The sequence below is a fragment of the Homo sapiens genome, chromosome 9 (genome assembly GCF_000001405.40).
Source record: "Homo sapiens chromosome 9, GRCh38.p14 Primary Assembly".
NCBI classification, from domain to species: Eukaryota; Metazoa; Chordata; class Mammalia; order Primates; family Hominidae; genus Homo; species Homo sapiens.
In genome coordinates, this window is record NC_000009.12 from 41932186 (window position 1) to 41952807 (window position 20622).

Below are 20622 nucleotides of genomic sequence, written 5' to 3' on the forward strand. Positions count from 1 at the left end.
CCCTATTATTTTCTAAAGCTTATACTATAGTCTACACTTGGAAATAGTGCTTTCATAGGTACCATAATCTCTTGGAGCAGTATTAAAAATTCAGTAAGAGAACTTTCAAAGACTTTTTGCTTTTATTTTATATTTTATTAAAATTTTTATTTATTAGAAATTCCTACGGTTCTGGAAATTGTACTTTCCTAGGAAGTGTGAAAACTTCTAAAAGCTACTACTTATTATTTGCCAGGGAACTTTATTTAAGGCAAAGTAGAGCCATAAGTTTGGGAGGTTGCAAAGAAAGCTAAAAGGGAGAAATGTTGAGTCAACTTTTTAACTTTTTTTTCTTCTTTTTTTTTTTTTTTCGAGACAGAGTCTCACTCTTGTCGCCCAGGCTGGAGTGCAATGGTGTGATCTCTGCTCACTGCAACCTCCACCCCCAGGATTCAAGCGATTCTCCTGCCTCAGCCTCCAGAGTAGCTGGGATTACATGCGTGCGCCACTACGCTCAGCTAATTTTTGTATTTTTAGTATAGACGGGGTTTCACCATGTTGGTCAGGCTGGTCTCGAACTTCTGACTTCATGATCTGCCCGCCTTGGCCTCGCAAAGTGCTGGGATAACAGGTGTGAGCCACCGCGCCCAGCCCAACTGTTAATGATTATTTTGGGGGAGTAGGTCAGCAATAATAAAATCATTATGATCCACATCTAACCCACTTAAAAAATTTCTAGATTCTCAGTTTCTGTTTAATTGCCTATCTTCTGGCCAGTTCAACCTGCATTAATTACTACAGCAATACAGTATGTCTTGACAGCTAACAGAACTAGTTTCTTCACTTTATTTTTCATCTTAAAAATTATCTTGCTTATCCTTTCATCCTTAATTTCCATATGAATTTTAAAACCAGGTTGCTGCAATCCACACAAGTAAAAACACTTGGCATTTTTTGGAATTTTGTTAAAATTACAGACTAATTTGAGGAGAATGTCAACTTTAAAAGAGGGTATCTCAACAGCAGCGTTACTGATATTTTGGGCTAATTTTTTTTTGTCATGGGGGGGGCTGTCCTGTGCACTGTAGGATGCTCAGCAGCACCCTGATTTCTAATTAATAGACACTAATATAAACAACCTTCCTCTCTGTGTGATGACAAAAATGTCTTCAGACAATGCCAAATGTCCCAAGAGTCGAAATCACCCCCGATTGAGAACTACTGCTTTAAGATACTGAGTCATACTATCCACGACAGTAGTGAGTCAATCCATTTATTTGGCTGTCCTTAATTCTCTTGAATAAGTTTTGTAATTTTTTCCATAAAAGTACTGCAGTTATTCCACAGAACTTTACATTTTTGTTAATATTGCAAATAAAATTTTTCTAGGTGTGTAATGGTAATTATTTTACGATTTTATAGAAATTCAAGTAATTCCTCAATACTGACTGACCATAAATTCAGCAAACTTACTGAACTCTCATTTTTCCTGATATTTCTTTATATTATTTTGGATTTTCTATGTAGGCAATCATATTATCTACAATATCTGCCAGGTTTGTTTCTTTTCCAAACTTTTCATCACTTACATCTATTTTATTTCCTCTTGTGTCTTTAACTGACACATGCATGAGCTTTTAAAAGTTATATATTCATTATTGATTACAGTTAAGAATATAGTTTCCATCATGACAATTCCGTAAAATTTGTTAAGATTCCATCCATTTACAAAATTTTTTATACTTATTCAACAATAATGTATAATACATTCTATAAAGAAATAATTTTTCCTTGCTAAACGATATATGGCTGCTATATCAAGTTTGTTAATTATAATATTAAAATATTCTTACCTGCTTCACTTACTCATTCCCAAAAATGTTATGTTAATTATTCCACTGTTTTGGGTGTCAATTTGCCTTTGCATATTTGTTACATATATATATATATATATATATACACACACATATATATATACACACACATATATATACACACACACACATATATATACACACACACACATATATATATACATACACACACACACATACTTTTTTTTTTTTTTTTTTGAGACAGAGTCTTGGTCTGTCGCCCAGGCTGGAGTGCAGTGGTGTGATCTTGACTCACTGTAAGCTCCGCCTTCCAGGTTCATGCCATTCTCCTGCCTCAGCCTCCCGAGTAGCTGGGACTACAGGCGCCCACCACCATGCCTGGCTAATATTTTTTGTATTTTTAGTAGAGACGGGGTTTCACCTGTGTTAGCCAGGATGGTCTCGATCTTCTGACCTTGTGATCTGCCCGCCTCGGCCTCCCAAAGTGCTGGGATTACAGGCGTGAGCCACGGCGCCCTGCCACTTCTTTATATATTTTAAACAATCTGATGATACACACAAGTGTAGTGAGATCTTTCTAGTGAGTTTATCTCAGCATTAGATAGAGTTCAAGTTTATCCCTAACAATGCTTTTCATCTTTGTCTGACATAATACAGCTATATCTGCTTTCTTTTGATTTGTATTTACTTGGTAAATATTTTCTATTCTTTTAGTTTCAACTTCACCGAGTGCTTATATTTTATCTTTTGTAAACAAGCTATAGCTTCTTTAAAAATCCAATATGATAAAATCTAATATCTGGTTTTTAAATGAACAGAGTTTACTCGTATTTATTATGATTATTTGTACACTAGTATGCATTTAAACCATCTTATTTTATGCTTTTTATTTGTGGTTACTTTTAAAGACTCTAAGATAATCACACAAAAGTCCTATTTAAATTCTTAAGTAAAATAATATTACAGTTACATGTGTCATCATTATATTAGCAAAACAACTTGTGGATTTTTGCAGACAGCTGAATTATATGTTATATGTATATTTTAGAGAATATATTGGTCTATTTGAACATAGTCCACTATACATTTATACACATATATTGACTTGCAGCATAGTTCAATATTTTAAATCATTATAGTGCCTTTTAAATATATGTTTTTATAATAAATCTTTGGCATGTTATAGTTATTTGATAGAATATTCTTACTGTGCCTGAGGAACTGTCTGATCATAAACTTTTTTTTAAGTAATATGCTTAGACGAGTTGCTGATTACAGGGACAACTTATGGAAAAATGGCGATGGTTTATATTAACAATACTGCCTGCCCCATTAACGGACATATGCCTGAAGAGACTTAAAATAGCTTTCACTTTACTTTCATTCCCAAATACTATTTTTATTATAAACTTTCCACCAGGAAAACTTTACTAAGCACACCTCAGTAATAGAAAATAAGTAATAAAGACTAAGATTTATGTTCTTATGTCTACACCTTAATCTAAATTATTACAATTATAAATCTTTTCATTTCATGAGACTGGTAAATTCCATTTTTATAAACTGAAAAATCAATTTTATTTGAAAAATTAAAATAGAAATTGTAATTTCCCACCCCCATACACACCCCCACATTTACAAAACAATCTACAAGAGTTGGGTTAGGATTTCAGAATGCTTGTGGTCTTACTGTTGGATAGACCTGTCTACTGGAAGCTGCAAAGTAAATAAAATAAGGTTAAAAAGCAAATGACTCCACAATGCTCCCTTCTGAATGTAGGAGGGGAGTTAATTTTTAAAACCTGCTTCTCTCCTGAATTTTTTTCCAAATGAAAGCCCAGGGCTTCTGTCACACCAGTGCAGTCCTTGACGGTGCTGAAGTGACATGGCTAAGGGTATCAGAGGACCTGCACCCACCTCAGTTCCTCCCATCCCCTCCTCAAACTCAGTTCATGGGAGGGTCACTCAATACAGGTGGCTCCAAGTGATACGTTCCTCTGGTTACTGCCCTAAGCATACGTGAAGTCTACAATAAAGTATGCACTTAATACTAACAGAAGGTTCTGTAACAAAAAAACAGTTGACCAGCCTGGCCAATAGTGAAACCCAGTCTCTACTAAAAATACAAAAATTAGCCAGGTGTGGCACTCGGCTGTAATCCCAGTTACTCGGGAGGCTGAGGCAGGAGAATCGCTTGAATCCGGGAGGCGCAGGTTGCAGTGAGCTGAGATCGCACCACTGCATTCCAGCCTGGGCGACAGAGAGAGACTCTGTCTCAAAACAAAAACAAAACAAAACGGTTAACATTCTTCGAACTAAGTTATAAAGCCACTAGCATATATGCCATTCTGGCTTTCTTGTAATAACCTGCCAATGCTCTCCTTTCTGACCTGTAGAGAATGGGGGTGGGGACAGACCAATGAGCTGGAGGTCTTCTGAACAGCCAGGAGCTGGAGGGCTGGAGCCCTCACAGGCAGGAGCCCCTTGTGGAATGGAGGAAATGAAAACCTCTAGGATTGTTAAAGATGTCCGTCAAAAGATTTGAAGGTCGCTGTTTGTCTCATTAGAGCCCAAAGCTAACACACATCATCACATTATCATACCAGACACTTTAAAATGTACATCATACAAAATATGGTACAAAACCATTTTAACTGACGGCAAATTACTTCAGACCTGAAACTTACTGGTGGCCAGATTTGAAACTATGGATCAGATCTGTTCCTGTTACTCACTGCACTAAAACTGCATTCATTTTTAAGTAAGAGAAAGTTGTATTAAGATTGCATATCAAAATATTCAAAAAGAGTGTCTCATAAATCTGTATGATCATTTTGTAATTTTGAACTTGAGGAAGATTAAAAATAATATCCATGTAAATGTATAGTATGTATTCTATAGAAAGCTCCAGTAGATTCAAGTGAGTTTTCCCAACTTCACAATATTTTTTAAAGTGATGCAAAGTAGACTTTTTATGCCAAATAAATAAGTGGACTACCATGCAGGCCAAACAACTCAATTTTTAGGAATCAAATTACTGCTTAGATTAGCTATTTTATGTCCAAATCAATTATACTGACACCTGGAATGACCATTACATTTTTTATTTATTAATTTATTATTATTATTATTATTATTATTATTTTGAGGTGGAGTCTTGCTCTGTCGCCCAGGCTGGAGTGCAGTGGCGCGATCTCAGCTCACTGCAACCTCTACCTCCTGGGTTAAGCAATTCTACTGTCTCACCCTCCTGAGCAGCTGGGACTACAGGCACACACAGCCACACCTGGCTAATTTTTGTATTTTCAGTGGAGACGGGGTTTCGCCACATTGGCCAGGCTGGTCTCAACCTTCTGACCTCAGGTGATCCACCTGCCTTGGCCTCCCAAAGTGCTGTGATTACAGGCATGAGCCACAGTGCCTGGCCTAAGTTTTTTTTTAAAGCACGTACTCTACACGATCTAGTTGTTTTATGACAATGCTTTTTAAGTTGCTGACATGAACCCAAAGGTTGAAAACATTTACATATTACAAATAAAAAAAAAGAAAACCAATATGCATTTCAAGAATAACCTCAAAAAGAACTTCTGAAAAAGAGGCATTGCAATCTACATGAGAAAATTGTTTCTGCTCAAAAGAAAGCTTACAAAATAATTTTCAAATTCCGGAAATTCTATGTTAGTTGTTTCAAAGTATGGTCTACAGAACAGTTGGTGCTTGAAGCTTTGCTATTGCACTGCAGATTTCAATGAGTGTGGGAAATTGTTGCTTCTAAAAAATAAACACAGTCCTTTTATGCAGGACCTCTCAGAGTTTCTTGTGTTAATGTTAATTTCTAAAAGAAAGACAGAATATGCAGCATTATATCCCAAATCAATTTAAGACAAAGATTTGGAGGAATTTGCTTTTTGAATTGCCACATGAATACTACGTTAATTAATTAACTAAACTTCGCAGAGAATGATATTTGATTTCCAGTGAGTGGAAAACTTAACAGCTGCTTCTCTTTTACGAAAAATAAAAAACACATTATATAGTATTCACAATGAATTAGTAAATCTTTGGTCATAAAATTTAATCCTTAGATTAACTGATCATATTTCATCAAAACTTGTATTTCAGCTTGCTTGAACATACTTTAATCTAGTTACCTTATTGTACCAGCTTGTCTGACATTTAATTAACTATGCATAATTAAAGAATAAAAACCACATTTTTGTGCAGGGAAATCATGTGGAAATCACCATTCATTCTGGCCAGCATCACAGTTGCAGTAATACTGAGAATCAATGCAGTTCCCCTCTAATCCACAAGTACACTTTTGAGCATCAGGCAGAGAACCTCCCCAGGAAGTGTGTGTTTCATTGGTTCTTCCAACCCACCAGCTCAGTGGGGTTCCATCTGAAAGACAAGTATAAGAAAGATGACATCTACTTTGTCCCTCACTATCACCCTCCCCATATATCTCCCTTTACTCCCAGGTGTAAAGTGTATGTGTGAGAGGCAGAGAGAGAGAAAATGAAACTATACTTAAACACTTGTATTTTACCTCTGAAACGTTTCTTTAAGCCTAACCAATGTTTTTCCCCCAATATTTCAATATCTAGGCTTAAATGATTCCATCTATTTTTCTTCTATTAGAAATCAGTCAGTTGCACGTGATACATACTTTCTATAGAAATAACATTCAAAAAAATTCACCATTAAAATTAATACCAGGGTAATTTGCACACTAAAGATAAAATCTATTTGAAATTATGAAATGTTCATTGAGAAAGTTTAATATTATACAAAGACATTGATTTATCTCATCCCATCTTTTTGCTAACTACCTGTATATTACACATTTGGAAAGATATGGTATTCTCTGTCAGTACTTACTAATTTTTGGAGGTATTTGTTTTTATTGCATTGGATGTCCTGACTCTTTATTTGGAGGTTAAGGAATGACATTGATAGGCTTTTCTCATCTCTGAGGTTAGAAATTTCTCATGCGAAGAAACAAAGTGCCCTGGGTCAACTACAGCTCTGACGAGTGCGCCTCCTTCTCAGCACTGACAATGATTAAATGATAGAGTCAGACACTAACTCAGATCTATAGAACTGCATATTAGGACAAGGGATGCTGCCAGGGGTTGGGAGTGAAGATTGGGGTGATGGACTGACAGCACATCACAGTAAAGTTAGGATAATTTAAAAAGCAGGTGTCAGGCCACCTATCTTAAAAAAGGAAAGGGGTCAGAGGCCACAAGTTGCAGTCATCACAGATTAGGCCATGAGGAAAATGAAATTGGATTAACTCAACCAGTTTTTTAAACATGCTTGATCATGTGGTGCTGTTTTTCAAATTTCAATAGGTTGTTACCATTGGAATATGAATCGAGATCTGGAACTTAGCTTCTACCTTACTGCTTATTACAACTCAATTATAACTCATTCATAGATAAGATCTCTGCATTCATTACCACCACCACTATCTATCACCTGCCCCTCTGCCAAAAAACAAAAAAAACAACGAAAAAAAGGCAATCTGGGAAAATTTAAAGAGGGATTAGTACCAGGAATCTTTTAAAAATGTGCTAAAAGCTTGTCACTACAACGTAAAAGATATTTTTAAAAATTAATACACTCTTCTCGGAATGCCACTTTAAAAGTTACCGACTTCACCATTAAACTGTCGCAGATTAAAGAGCAAAACACTCATTATATCCTAATGTACAAGTGTAAATTTACATCTAAATCTCCCATATTCCCCATAAAGTAGTAAAAATGTATTTTTTTAGAAACAGTAACAAAAAGATGTAAGTGGGTGAACTTCTAGACTGATAAAAGATCTTGTAGACTTGTCTATCCCTGCTATTTCCACCAAGTATAATGATAGATTCTGGAAATAATACAGAAGACAACCGAAGAGAATTCTGAAAAGTAGAAAGAGGAAGCTTAGGACCCCAGGACTGGAACATACAATAACATAACGTTTTAAAAAAACTCTGAATGGGCTCAAGAATAGAGTGAAAAGACACAGGACAGAATCACTGAACTTGAGGACCCACCAATAGGCTTTATCTAACCTGACCAAAAAAGAGAAAACAGACGGAATATAAAAAGAACTGAGCCATAGGGTCCTATCAGACAATATCATCCGAATCTCAAAAAGAGAGAACAAAGTGTGCTGAAAGAGTACTGAAAAAATACTGGCTGTAAACTTCCCACATGTGGTGAAAGATACAAACCCACAGATTTAGGAAGTTAAGTCCAAAAAAGGATAAACCCAAAAATATCGACACCAAGATCCATCATAATTGAACTTTTTGGAAACAAAACAAAACAAATCTTGAAAGCAGCCTGAGAGAATAACACATTACCTGCCTGTAAAAGAACCCTAATTTGAATGATAGTAGATTACTCATCTGAAATTACAGAACCAGAAGGAATGGCATATTTTTTTTCAGGGCTGATAGAAAAGAATTGTCAACTATAAATTATATATCCAGAGAAACTATCCTTCAAGAATAAAAATGGAAATAAAATCTTTTTAGGCCGGGTGCGGTGGCTCACGCCTGTAATCCCAGCACTTTCGGAGGCCGAGGTGGGCGGATCACGAGGTCAGATCGAGACCATCCTGGCTAACACGGTGAAACCCCGTCTCTACTAAAAATACAAAAAATAGACGAGCGTAGCGGCGGGAGCCTGTAGTCCCAGCTACTCAGGAGGCTGAGGCAGGAGAATGGCGTGAACCCGGGAGGCGGAGCCTGCAGTGAGCCGAGATTGTGCCACTGCACTCCAGCCAGGGCGACAGAGTGAGACTCCATCTCCAAAACAATAACAACAACAAAAAACCTTTTTAACACAAAAGAAAACTAAAATAATTTGTCGCTAGCAGACATTCCCTAAAGAATGGCTAAAGGAGGTTTTTCAAAAAGAAATTATAACGAAGGATTCTTGGAACATCAGGAAAAAAATGAAAAGAGAAGAAATATGGATAAATATAATAGACTATCCTTATCAATTTTTGAAATGATATATGATAATTGACACAAAAACTGTAATACCATATGATACTCAAGACAATGATATTTAGAAGTGGGGAAGATAAAGGACCCAAATAGACATAAGGATTCCATATTTCATTATGAGAGTGAAGATATTTAAGTTGACTGTGGTAAGTCACATATGTACACTATAATACCAAGCAACGAGTAAGAAAATTATAAAAATTACCTTAAATGTAAATGGTTAAAATATAACAAAAGTTAGATGCTGGCAGAATCAACTGAAAAAAAAATAACACAACGAGAAATTTATAAGAAACTCACTTCAAAATAAACATAGGCAGGTTAAAAGTAAAAGGATGGAAAAAATACACTCTGCAAAACTTAAATTTGAAAGAAAGCAGAATGGCTATCTCATAAAATAGACTTCAGAACAAAAATACTAGAACAGGGACATTACATAATGATTTAAAAAAAAATCACCAGGAAGACATAAATGCATATGCAAGAAACAATACACCCTTAAAAAAATGAGGCAAAAATTGAGACTTCTGGTTTCCAATCTGATATGACATTAAGAGTCTGGAAGTCATCGCTCCCATTCTCACAACAAGAAAAAAGCTGCACTAACTAAAAATAAACAGTTCTTCTTACACAGTTAAAGTCATAGGGCAAACATTACTCCTAAAGCTGCAGAGACAACTGAAAACAGCATCACGGCTAATGGTGCCAAAGCAGATGGTGGAGTCTGGTAAAAGCACTTAAAATGTAACTGACTAATTGATGGATACTGAGCAAGGACAAGCTACAGAGATTGAAAACTCCTAGAGTGGGGGATACGCCTTAGAGGGTCAACACACCTTCAAGAGTTTTATCTCCAGGAAGAGCCCCATCAAGTTCTCAGAATAAAGATAGGAAAAAAACGCTCTTATGTCTCCAGCAGGGGGAGGGAAGGAGAAAACATTTTTGAAATAAGCGCTGAACATTATGTTCTCCTTAACAACATTCTAATCCCCCAAAAAGCTAGTTTACTAGAGCCTAAACCACCTAGGGGAATGGAAATACCCAGAACCAGCCCCCTCTACCCTTCTTTTCTTACCCAAGGGAAGGGGAAGGAAGCTGAGAAGCACTCTGAAGGTCACAGTCCAGGAAGACAGGTTCTCTAAAAGACTGACCTAATCCTAAGAGTACAGGATGCTTCTGGCCGGGCGCGGTGGCTCACGCCTGTAATCCCAGCACTTTGGGAGGCCGAGGCGGGCAGATCATGAGGTCAGGAGATCGAGACCATCCTGGCTAACATGGTGAAACCCCATCTCTACTAAAAATACAAAAAATTGGGTCGGGTGAGGTGGCTCAAGCCTGTAATCCCAGCATTTTGGGAGGCTGAGGCGGGCGGATCACGAGGTCAGGAGATCCAGACCATCCTGGCTAACATGGTGAAACCCCGTATCTACTAAAAATAGAAAAAAATTAGCCGGGCGTGGTGGCGGGCGCCTGTAGTCCCAGCTACTGGGGAGGCTGAGGCGGGAGAATGGCGTGAACCCGGGAGACGGAGCTTGCAGTCAGCTGAGATGGCGCCACTGCACTCCAGCCTGGGCTACAGAGCGAGACTCTCTCAAAAAAATTAAAATAAAATAAAAACATTAAAAAAAAAAGAGTATAGGATGCTTCTCCTCTCCCCGCACCTTATCATCAATCAGATCAGTACATTACCTGTATAGTAACAGGAGATTAAAAATGAAAGAGCTGTCAATTTTAGACCCTATTTAAGACAGAGTCTCTGGGAAAACTCAAAACGGAAGAAAGAAAAATAAAATAACCTTAGAGGAAATTTTGGCCTCTGACACAACAGTTATGCAAAGAGCAAATTCAGCCTAACTACTAACCAGATAAACATAAAACCTTACATTAAAGGCTTCCTTACCTCAGTTCCTTTGCCAATACAACATGTCTGGCTTTCAACAGAAAATTGCAAGGTATGCTAAAGCCAAACAATACAGTCTTATGAGACGAATCAAGCAAACATGCAGTTATGACAGATTTGGAAATATCAGATAAGGAATTTGAAATAATAATCAATATGCTAAGGGCTCTATGTTGAAAAAGTGGGCAACATGCAAGAAGAGATAGGTACTATAAACAAAGATATGAAATCTCAAAATCAGAAGGAAATACAGAGATTAAAAGTAAACATTGTAGAGTGTCTTTGATGGCCTCATCAAAGTCTGGGAAGACTGGGAAGTGCTGAGGAAAGAATCAGTGAGTTTGAAGATACGTCAATGAAAATTTTCCATTAAACACAAAGAGAAAAAGAATGAAAAATGAAACATAATATCCAAACTGTTGGACAATAATTTTTTTTTTTTTTTTTTTTTTTTTGAGATGGAGTCTCTCTCTGTCGCTCAGGCTGGAGTGCAGTGGTGCAATCTCGGCTCACTGCAAGCTCCGCCTCCTGGGTTCACGCCATTCTCCTGCCTCAGCCTCCCGAGTAGCTGGGACTACAGGCGCCTGCCACCACGCCCAGCTAATTTTTTGTATTTTTAGTAGAGACGTGGTTTCCCCGTGGTAGCCAGGATGGTCTGGATCTCCTGAACTTGTGATCCGCCCGCCTCGGCCTCCCAAAGTGCTGGGATTACAGGCAAGTGAGTCACCGCGCCCAGCCCTGTTGGATAAATTCAAACGGTGTAACCTATGTAACCCATAATCGGAATACCAGAAGTAGAAGGAAGAGAGTGAGAACCAGAAGAAATATTTAAAATAATGACAGTTGAGAATGTTTCAAAATTAATGACAGACATGAAACCATAGGTTCAGGAATCTCAGCAATCACCAAGCAGGTTAAATACAAAAAAAACCACACCTAGGCATCTCATATTCAAATTGCAAAAAATTGAAGACTTTCTTAAAATTAAAATAAAATCTTTTAAAAATAAAATCTCGAAATAAACCAGAGTAAAATAAAACACCTTACCTACATAGGAGCAAGAATGAGAATTATGCCAGATTTCCCTTAAGAAACCATGCAAGCAAGAAGAAAGTGAAGTGAAATATTTAAACTGTTGAGAGAAAACACACACTAATATAAAATTCTATATCCAGTAAAATTATCCTAAATAGTAAAGTAGAAATAAAGACTTAGATAAACAGAATTGAGGAAATCTTTCTCCAGTAGACCTACCTTGCAAGCCATGTTAATAGAAGTTCCTCAGAGAAAAGAAAAACAATATAGGTCAAAAACACAGAAATACATAAAGAAAGGTAGGAGCATTAGAGAAGAAAAAAATTAAAATAAAATCTAGTGTCTTCTTCTTAATTGATGTAATAGGTAACAGCTCTAAATAATACTAACAATGTATTGGGTGATTATGGCTTATGAATAAGTAAAATGAATGATAATAATGTAATACAAAATAAGACAGAAGGATTGGAAATGCTGTGTTATAAAGTACCAGCACCATTAATGAAGTGGAATAGTGTTATTTGAAAGTAGATTGTTATAGTGTATATTTTATACTCAAAGGCTACCACTAAAACAATTACCAAGAAATGTAATTAATATTCTAGGAGAAGTGAGGATATGGAATCATATAAAATGCTCAATTAAAACAAAAAATGTGAGAGGGGAATTCAGGAAAAAAAGAAGAAACAAGGGCAACAAATAAAAAAGAGTTACAATATGGCAAATATTAATCCAAGTATCAATAATCACTTTAAATGTAAACAGTCTAAATATACCAATTAAGAAAGCAATGGCAACAAAAGCCAAAATTGACAAATGGGATCTAATTAAACTAAAGAGCTTCTGCACAGCAAAAGAAACTACCATCAGAGTGAACAGGCAACCTATAGAATGGGAGAAAATTTTTGCAATCTACCCATCTGACAAAGGGCTAATATCCAGAATCTACACAGAACTTAAACAAATTTACAAGAAAAAATCAACCTCATCAAAAAGTGGGCGAAGTATATGAACAGACACTTCTCAAAAGAAGACATTTATGCAGCCAACAGACACATGAAAAAATGCTCATCATCACTGGCCATCAGAGAAATGCAAATCAAAACCACAATGAGATACCATCTCACACCAGTTAGAATGACGATCATTAAAAAGTCAGGAAACAACAGGTGCAGGAGAGGATGTGGAGAAATAGGAACACTTTTACACTGTTGGTGGGACTGTAAACTAGTTCAACCATTGTGGAAGACAGTGTTGCGATTCCTCATGGATCTAGAACTAGAAATACCATTTGACCCAGCCATCCCATTACTGGGTATATACCCAAAGGATTATAAATCATGCTGCTATAAAGACACATGCACACATATGTTTACTGAGGCAGTATTCACAATAGCAAAGACTTGGAACCAACCCAAATGTCCATCAATGACAGACTGGATTAAGAAAATGTGGCACATATATACCATGGAATACTATGCAGCCATGAAAAAGGATGAGTTCATGTCCTTTGTAGGGCCATGGATGAAGCTGGAAACCATCATTCTCAGCAAACTATCGCAAGGACAAAAAACCAAACACTGCATGTTCTCACTCATAGGTGGGAATTGAACAATGAGAACACTTGGACACAGGAAGGGGAACATCACACACCGGGGCCTGTCATGGGGTGTGGGGAGAGGGGAGGAATAGCATTAGGAGATATAGCTAATGTAAATGATGAGTTAATGGGTGCAGCACACCATTAACATATGGATACATATGTAACAAACCTGCATGTTGTGCACATGTACCCTAGAAATTAAGGTATGATAATAATAAAATAAAAGACTGAGACTGTCAGAGTGAACAACAACAACAAAACCCATGATCCACCTACATGTTGTCTACTGAAATCCTCTTTAAATATAAAATAGCGGGTAGATTTGAAGAGCTAGAGAAAGATATACCATGGTAACACTAACCAAAAAGAAAGACAGAGTATCTAAATTAATTTTAGACAAAGCCAACTGCAGAGCAAGGAAAATTATCAGAGATGAAAAAGGGCATTACACAATAATAAAGGGGTCAATATAACAAGAAGATATAATAATGCTTAATATGTATATACCTAGCAACAGAAGAGTCAAAATATATTAGGGGGAAACTGATAGAACTGCAAGGACAGAGAGACACATCCATTATTACCACTGGAGACTTCAACACCCCTCTATGAGTAAGTTACAGACTCAGCAGGAAGAAAATCATTAAGGATAGATTTGAACTGAACAGCACCATCAATCAACTGGATCTAACTGAATACTTTAGAATTCAATTAGCGTTATAGAATATTTTATCTAGACACTGCAGAATACACATTCTTCTCAAATACAAATGCACAATTCATTAAGTTAAACCACATTCTAGGCCACAGAACACTTTACCAAATTTAAAAGAATAGAAATCACAAAAGGCATGTTCTTGAATCAGAATGGAATTAAACTAATAATAGCAGAAAGAGAGCTGAAATATCCTCAAATACCAAAAAATTTAAAAACACATTTCTAAATAATAAAACATGGTGAAAGAGAAAGTCTCAAGAGAAACAAAATTTTTTAACTAAGCCAGTAATTAATAACCTTCCCAAACAGAAAGTACCAAGCCCAGATGATTCACTGGTGAGTTCTATCAACATTGGAGAAATAAATGATACCAATTTTCCACAATCTGTTGCAGAAAATAGAAGCAGAGTGACTATTTCTTAACTCATTCCATGGGCCAGCATTACCCTAATACCCAAACCAGCAAAACCTTACAAAAAAGTAAACTGCAAACAAATATCTCCCTTGAACATGGATGAAGCAATCCTTAAAAAATATTAGCAAATTGAACCAAACAATTTTTAAAAATAAACACCACAACCAAGTGGGATTTACTCTAGATATGCCTTTAACATTTGAAAATTAATTAATATAGTCCATCAGATCAACAAACTAAAGAATAAAAATCATATGCTTCCAGTACTTTCTGCTCAATTTCTATGTAAACTTAAAATTGCTAAAAAATATAAAGCCTATTAATATAAGAAAACTGATGGAGCAGAATGGAAAAATAAACAGATCCACAATTATAGTACAGATTTCAAAATGTCTCTCTTAGCAACTGACAGAACTACTGGACAAGAAGTCAGCAAGGATATACAAGATCTGAACAACATAATCAACCAACAGGATCTCATTGAAATACATACAGAATACTCCACTTAAGAATAGCAGAATATACATTTTTTTTTCAAATGCCCATGAAAAATTTACAAGACAGACCATATCCCTGGGAGCCAAACAAACCTCAACATATTTAAAAGAACTAAAATCACACAAAGTATATTCTCTAAGCATAATGGAATCAAACTGGAAATCAATACCAGAAAGAGAAAAAGAAAATCTCTAAACACTTAGAAATTTTTTAAAATACACTTCTAAATAAGCTACAGGTCAAAGAATATGCTTCAAAGAAATTTATTAAAATACTTAAATGAAAATGAAACTACATGAAAAACTAAATGAAAATGAGAATACAACATATCAAAATATGTGAAATGTAGGTAAAACTGTGTTGATAGGGAAAACGTAGCACTAAATGCCTACATTAGGAAAGAAGAAAGCCCTAAAGCCAATAATGTAAGTTCTTACCTCTAGAAACTAGAAAACAAAATTAACTCATACAAGCTGAAGGAAGGAGATAACAAAGAGAAGAGCAGATTTCAATAGAATTTGAAACAAAAATAATAGAGAAAATCAAGAAACGAAAATCTAGTTCTAAAAAACAGTAAGATTGAAAAACTTCTATAAAGACTGACAGACAAAAAAAGATGAGACAAACTATGAATATGAGAAATTTAAGTGGATATCACTACAGATGCTGGAGACATCAAACGAATAATAAGAAAATACTACAAATAATTCTACACAAATCAACTTGACAATTCAGATTAATGGACAAATTTCTCAAAAAGTACAAACTACCACAATTCACCTAACATGAAATAGGTAATTTAAGTAATTGTAATTATTAAGAAAATTGAATTCATAATTTAAAATTACTGAAAAAAAATCTCTTGGCCCAGATGGTTTTATTGGAGAATTCTTTTTGTTTTGTTTTGGTTTTGGTTTTTATTTTTGAGATGAAATCTCGTTCTGTTGTCCAGGCTGGAGTGCAGTGGTGTGATCTTGGCTCACTGCAACCTCTGCCTCCCAAGTTCAAGCGATTCTCCTGCCTCAGCCTCCTGAGTAGCTGGGATTATAGGTGTGTGCCACCACACCCAACTAATTTTTGTATTTTTAGTGGAGACGGGGTTTCACCATGTTGGCCAGGCAGGTCTCGAACTCCTGACCTCAAGTGATCCATCTGCCTCAGCCTCCCAAAGTGCTGGGATCACAGAGCCACCCTGCCGGGCCTTACTGGAGAATTCTACCAAATGTTTAAATAAAAATTAAAGTCAATTTTACATAATCTCTTCCAGAAAACAGGAGACTAGAGAATGCTACCAAATTCATTTTATGTAGGCAGTATTGTCCTGATACTGAAACCAGATAAAGACAATATGAAAAAAGAAAACTACATATCAATATCTCTTATGAATTTGAATGCAAAAATATTCAATAAAATATTAATAAATCAAACACATTAGAAATGTATTTTTTAAATTATACATTATGGCAAAATGGGAGTTGCTCTAGTTATGCAAAGCTGATTCAACATATCAACAGACAAAAGAAGAAATATAATATTTTAATACCAATTGACACAGAAAAGACATTTGACAAAAATCCAATGTCCTTTCAAAATAAAAACTGTCAGCCAACCAGGAATAAAAGGGAACTACCTCCACATAACATAGGAAACAAGAATGAATGCTTTTCCCCTAAGACAGGAAACAAGGCAAGGATGTCTGCCCTCACCACTCTAGCTCAACCTAGTATTGAAAGTCTAGCTACTGCAATAAAGCAAGAAAAATAAATTAACTCCCTACAGATTGACGAGGAAGAAATAAAGCTGACTCTACTTGCAGATGACATGATTTTCCATATAGAAAATCCCAAGGAATCTAAAAAAATATTAAGTTCAAAAAAGAGCTTATAAGATTAGTATGAAACAATCATATTTCATATTCTAACAAGAAACATATGTAAACAAAAATTTAAAGCACAACAGCACTTACAATCAATCAAGAAACTAACTAAATGCCTAAGCATACTTATAAAACATATAATCTCTGGATGCTAAGAATTACAAAATGCTGAGGCAAGAAATCAAAGATCCAAATAAATGGAAAGATATCTCATGTTCATGGATTGGAAGACTCAAAACAGTAAAACACCAATTTTCCCTTCATTGAGCTATTATGTTTAATGTCATTCCCATAAAAATTCTAGCAAGATGTTTGTAGACATAAACAAATTTATTACAAAATTTATACAGAATGAGGCAAGCTACAGACTTAAACAATCTTGAAAAAGAAGAATAAAGCAGGAGGAATAACTCAACCCTGCTACACAGCTACCACGTTCAAGACAGTGTGATATTGGTGGAGGCATATAAATTAATGAAACAGATAAAGAATGCAGAAACAGACCCACCACACAAGTAAGTTCAACCAATTTTTAACACTATTTAAAATGCAATTCAATGCAGGAAGGATAGCCTTTTCAACAAATGGTTCTGGAGCAACTGAACATTCATAGTCAGAGAGAGTGAGAGAGAATCAACTCTCACATCTTATATAAAATGTGTCCCAAAATAGGGCATGGAATTAAAAGTAAAAGGTAAAACTATAAAACTTTTAGGAAAAAAATTCAAAAATCTTTGGAATTGGAATTTAGGGTTAGGTAAAGAATTTTTAGAATTGACACGATGTGTACAACCCATAAAAGGAAAATATGATAAACTGAATCTCATCAAAATTAAAACTTTTGCTCTAAAAAATTCCAGTTAAGAGTCGATGAATAGGCAAGCAACAGAGTGGGAAAAAATATTCGCAAATCACATATCCAACAAAAGGCTAGTATCTAGAATATATAAAGAACTGAAAATTCAACAGTAACAAAACAAATCCAAACAATCCAATTAGAAAATGAACAACAACAAAAACATTCACAGACATCTATCTCACTGAAAACGATATACAGATGGCAAATAAGCATATAAAACATGCTCAATATTATTAGACATCAGGGAGACACAAATTAAAACCACAATAAAGATATTACTACACAGTTATCAGAATAGCTAAAATAAAAAATAGTCACAACACCAAATGCGGATGAGCATGTGGAGGAAATGAAATCATACACTGTTGGTGGGAATGGTACAACCATTCTAGAAAACAATTTGGCAGCTTTTTATAAAACTAAGTATGCAATTACCATATATGACCCACCTATTGCCCTTTGGGGCATTAATTCCAGAGAAATGAAAACTAATGTTCACACAAAACCTGTACACAATGTTCATAAAAGCTTTATTCATAATTGCCCCAAACTGTAAACAAACAACCCAGATGCCCTTCAATGAGTGAATAAACTCTGGCATATCCATGCCACCGATTGCTAATCAGCAATGAAAAGGAACAAATTACTGATATACACAATTATGCAAATGAATCTAGAGAGGATTACACAGAGTGAAAAAAACTCAACCACAAAGAGTACATACTATATAATTTCATTTACATAACATTCTTGAAGTTTAAAAAAACCCATAGAAATGGAGAACATACTAGTGGTTATTAACGAGCAATAGAGCAATAGGAGGAATTCTTTTTTTTTTTTTTTTTTTTTTTTTTGAGACGGAACGGAGTCTTGCTCTGTCGCCCAGGCTGGAGTGCAGTGGCGCCATCTCGGCTCACTGCAAGCTCCACCTCCCGGGTTCACGCCATTCTCCTGCGTCAGCCTCCCAAGTAGACTACAGGCACCCGCCACCACACCTGGCTACTTTTTTGTATTTTTAGTAGAGACGGGGTTTCATCGTGTTAGCCAGGATGGTCTGATTTCCTGACCTCGTGATCCGCCCGCCTCGGCCTCCCGAAGTGTTGGGATTACAGGCATGAGCCACCGTGCCCAGCCAATAGGAGGAATTCTTGTGCTGATGGAAATACTGTGTATCTTGACTGTATGGATGTCAAGATTCCGGCTGTGATATTGCACTATACTTCTACAAGATGTCACCTTGGGGTGGGGGAACTGCTTAACGGCTATTCGGGTTCTCTCTGTTACTTCTCACAAGTGTATGTAAATCTACAATTATCTCAAAATTTTTTTTAAATTATCTTTTCAAAAGAGGAGAAATAGGGAAATTCTCACTGATGGGAGTAGAATATTCCATTTCTTGTGTTATTTTAGCCCCTAGCCCAGTAGTTTCCAAAAGATCACCTGGGGATTTTTTTTTTAAACGATTCCAAAGCCAAGGCTACACTTCATTCAACAGCAATGAACTAACAAATAATTAAGTTTTGTAATGCCAACTTTAAAAAACTGGAGAACTGGGAAGGAGAGTTTCTTACTTACTGAACTTATGTAAGATATCTCATTTATAAAAGAAACCCCATGAGATCAGTACTACAGGGTCCATTTCATCAAAGAGGAAACAAAGTCTGAGAAAGATTAAGGAATGGCCTAAATTTCCACAACTGCTAAGTGACAGACTTAGCACTTGAACTTCAAACTTTGAATGCAACCAGACCTTTGCTCTTTCTACTAGACCAAATTGGCTGGCAGGCATCCAGGGGAGAGAGGGATCACCCTGGGAAGGGACCCAGATGCCGACTGCACAGGTCTAGCACAGTGGGTAAGATTTAAGAGTGTGAGGGCCGGGCGCGGTGGCTCACGCCTGTAATCCCAACACTTTGGGAGGCTGAGGCGGGCGGATCACCTGAGGTCAGGAGTTCAAGAACAGCCTGACCAACACGGTGAAACCCCGTCTCTACTAAAAATACAAAAATTAGCCGGGCGTGGCGGCACCCGCCTGTATTCTCAGCTATTCAGGAGGCTGAGGCAGGAGAATCGCTTGAATCCGGGAGGGGAGCGGGTTGCAGTGAGCAAAGATCGTGCCACTGCACTCCAGCCTGGGTGACAGAGAGGTCAATCCAGGCAGAGGAAATGGTCTGGCATATTCCAGGGGCTGATTGGCCAGACGGACTAGGGAAGGCAATGCAGGTATGGGTTAGTGGATCAGCGCAAACCACCTTCAGATGACAGTCATACACCACTTTCCAACTTAAAGATTTTGTATTGAAAATTTAAGAGTGAAATTTAATTTAAGTGGCTTTATTATGCTACCGACATACACTGTTTTTGTTTTTTTAAGACAAGGTGTTGCTCTGCTGCCCAAGCTGGAGGCAGTGAAGCAATCACAGCTCACTGCAGCCTGGACTTCCTGGGCTCCAGTGATCCTCCCGCCTATATACTATTTGGGATTGCTAAAACTAAAAAAATGAAAGGTAAATTTCAGTATTTAACTATAATTAGCAATAAAGTGCTTTCAAGAAACTATATGGAAACTGTTGGAGAGCAGCGGTGAGTCCTGCAGGGGACTGTGGGGATTCCGGAAAGGAGGGGGAAGTTGGTCTTTAACTTAGGAGAAGACGGTTTTGATGCAGGCAGAGTTTCCAAAACATTACTTCCATATATGAAGATTAAGGTATACATTTCTCAAGATATAATTTCAAAAAAATGAGACACCCACTGACAAAAGGTTTTAATAACCCTAGTCATTATTTCATCCTAGACCACAGTGAAAGTGGCGGGGCTGAGGAAGGGCATATTCAGTTAATCTAAAGGGAGGAAACAAAGGTTCCAAGTAGATTTAGAGGAAGACTTTG

The 20622-nt window shown here is 36.5% G+C and overlaps 1 protein-coding gene across 1 annotated transcript in view; it reads right to left on the minus strand.

Moving 5' to 3' along the window:
* The window catches only part of CNTNAP3B (contactin associated protein family member 3B), a 238891-nt gene that overhangs the window by 41650 nt on the left and 176619 nt on the right, over positions 1–20622 (minus strand). Inside the window, exon 14 of the mRNA NM_001201380.3 lies at positions 6059–6215. Coding sequence (NP_001188309.2) covers positions 6059–6215 — 157 coding nt within the window. The remainder of the gene's footprint in view (positions 1–6058; positions 6216–20622) is intronic.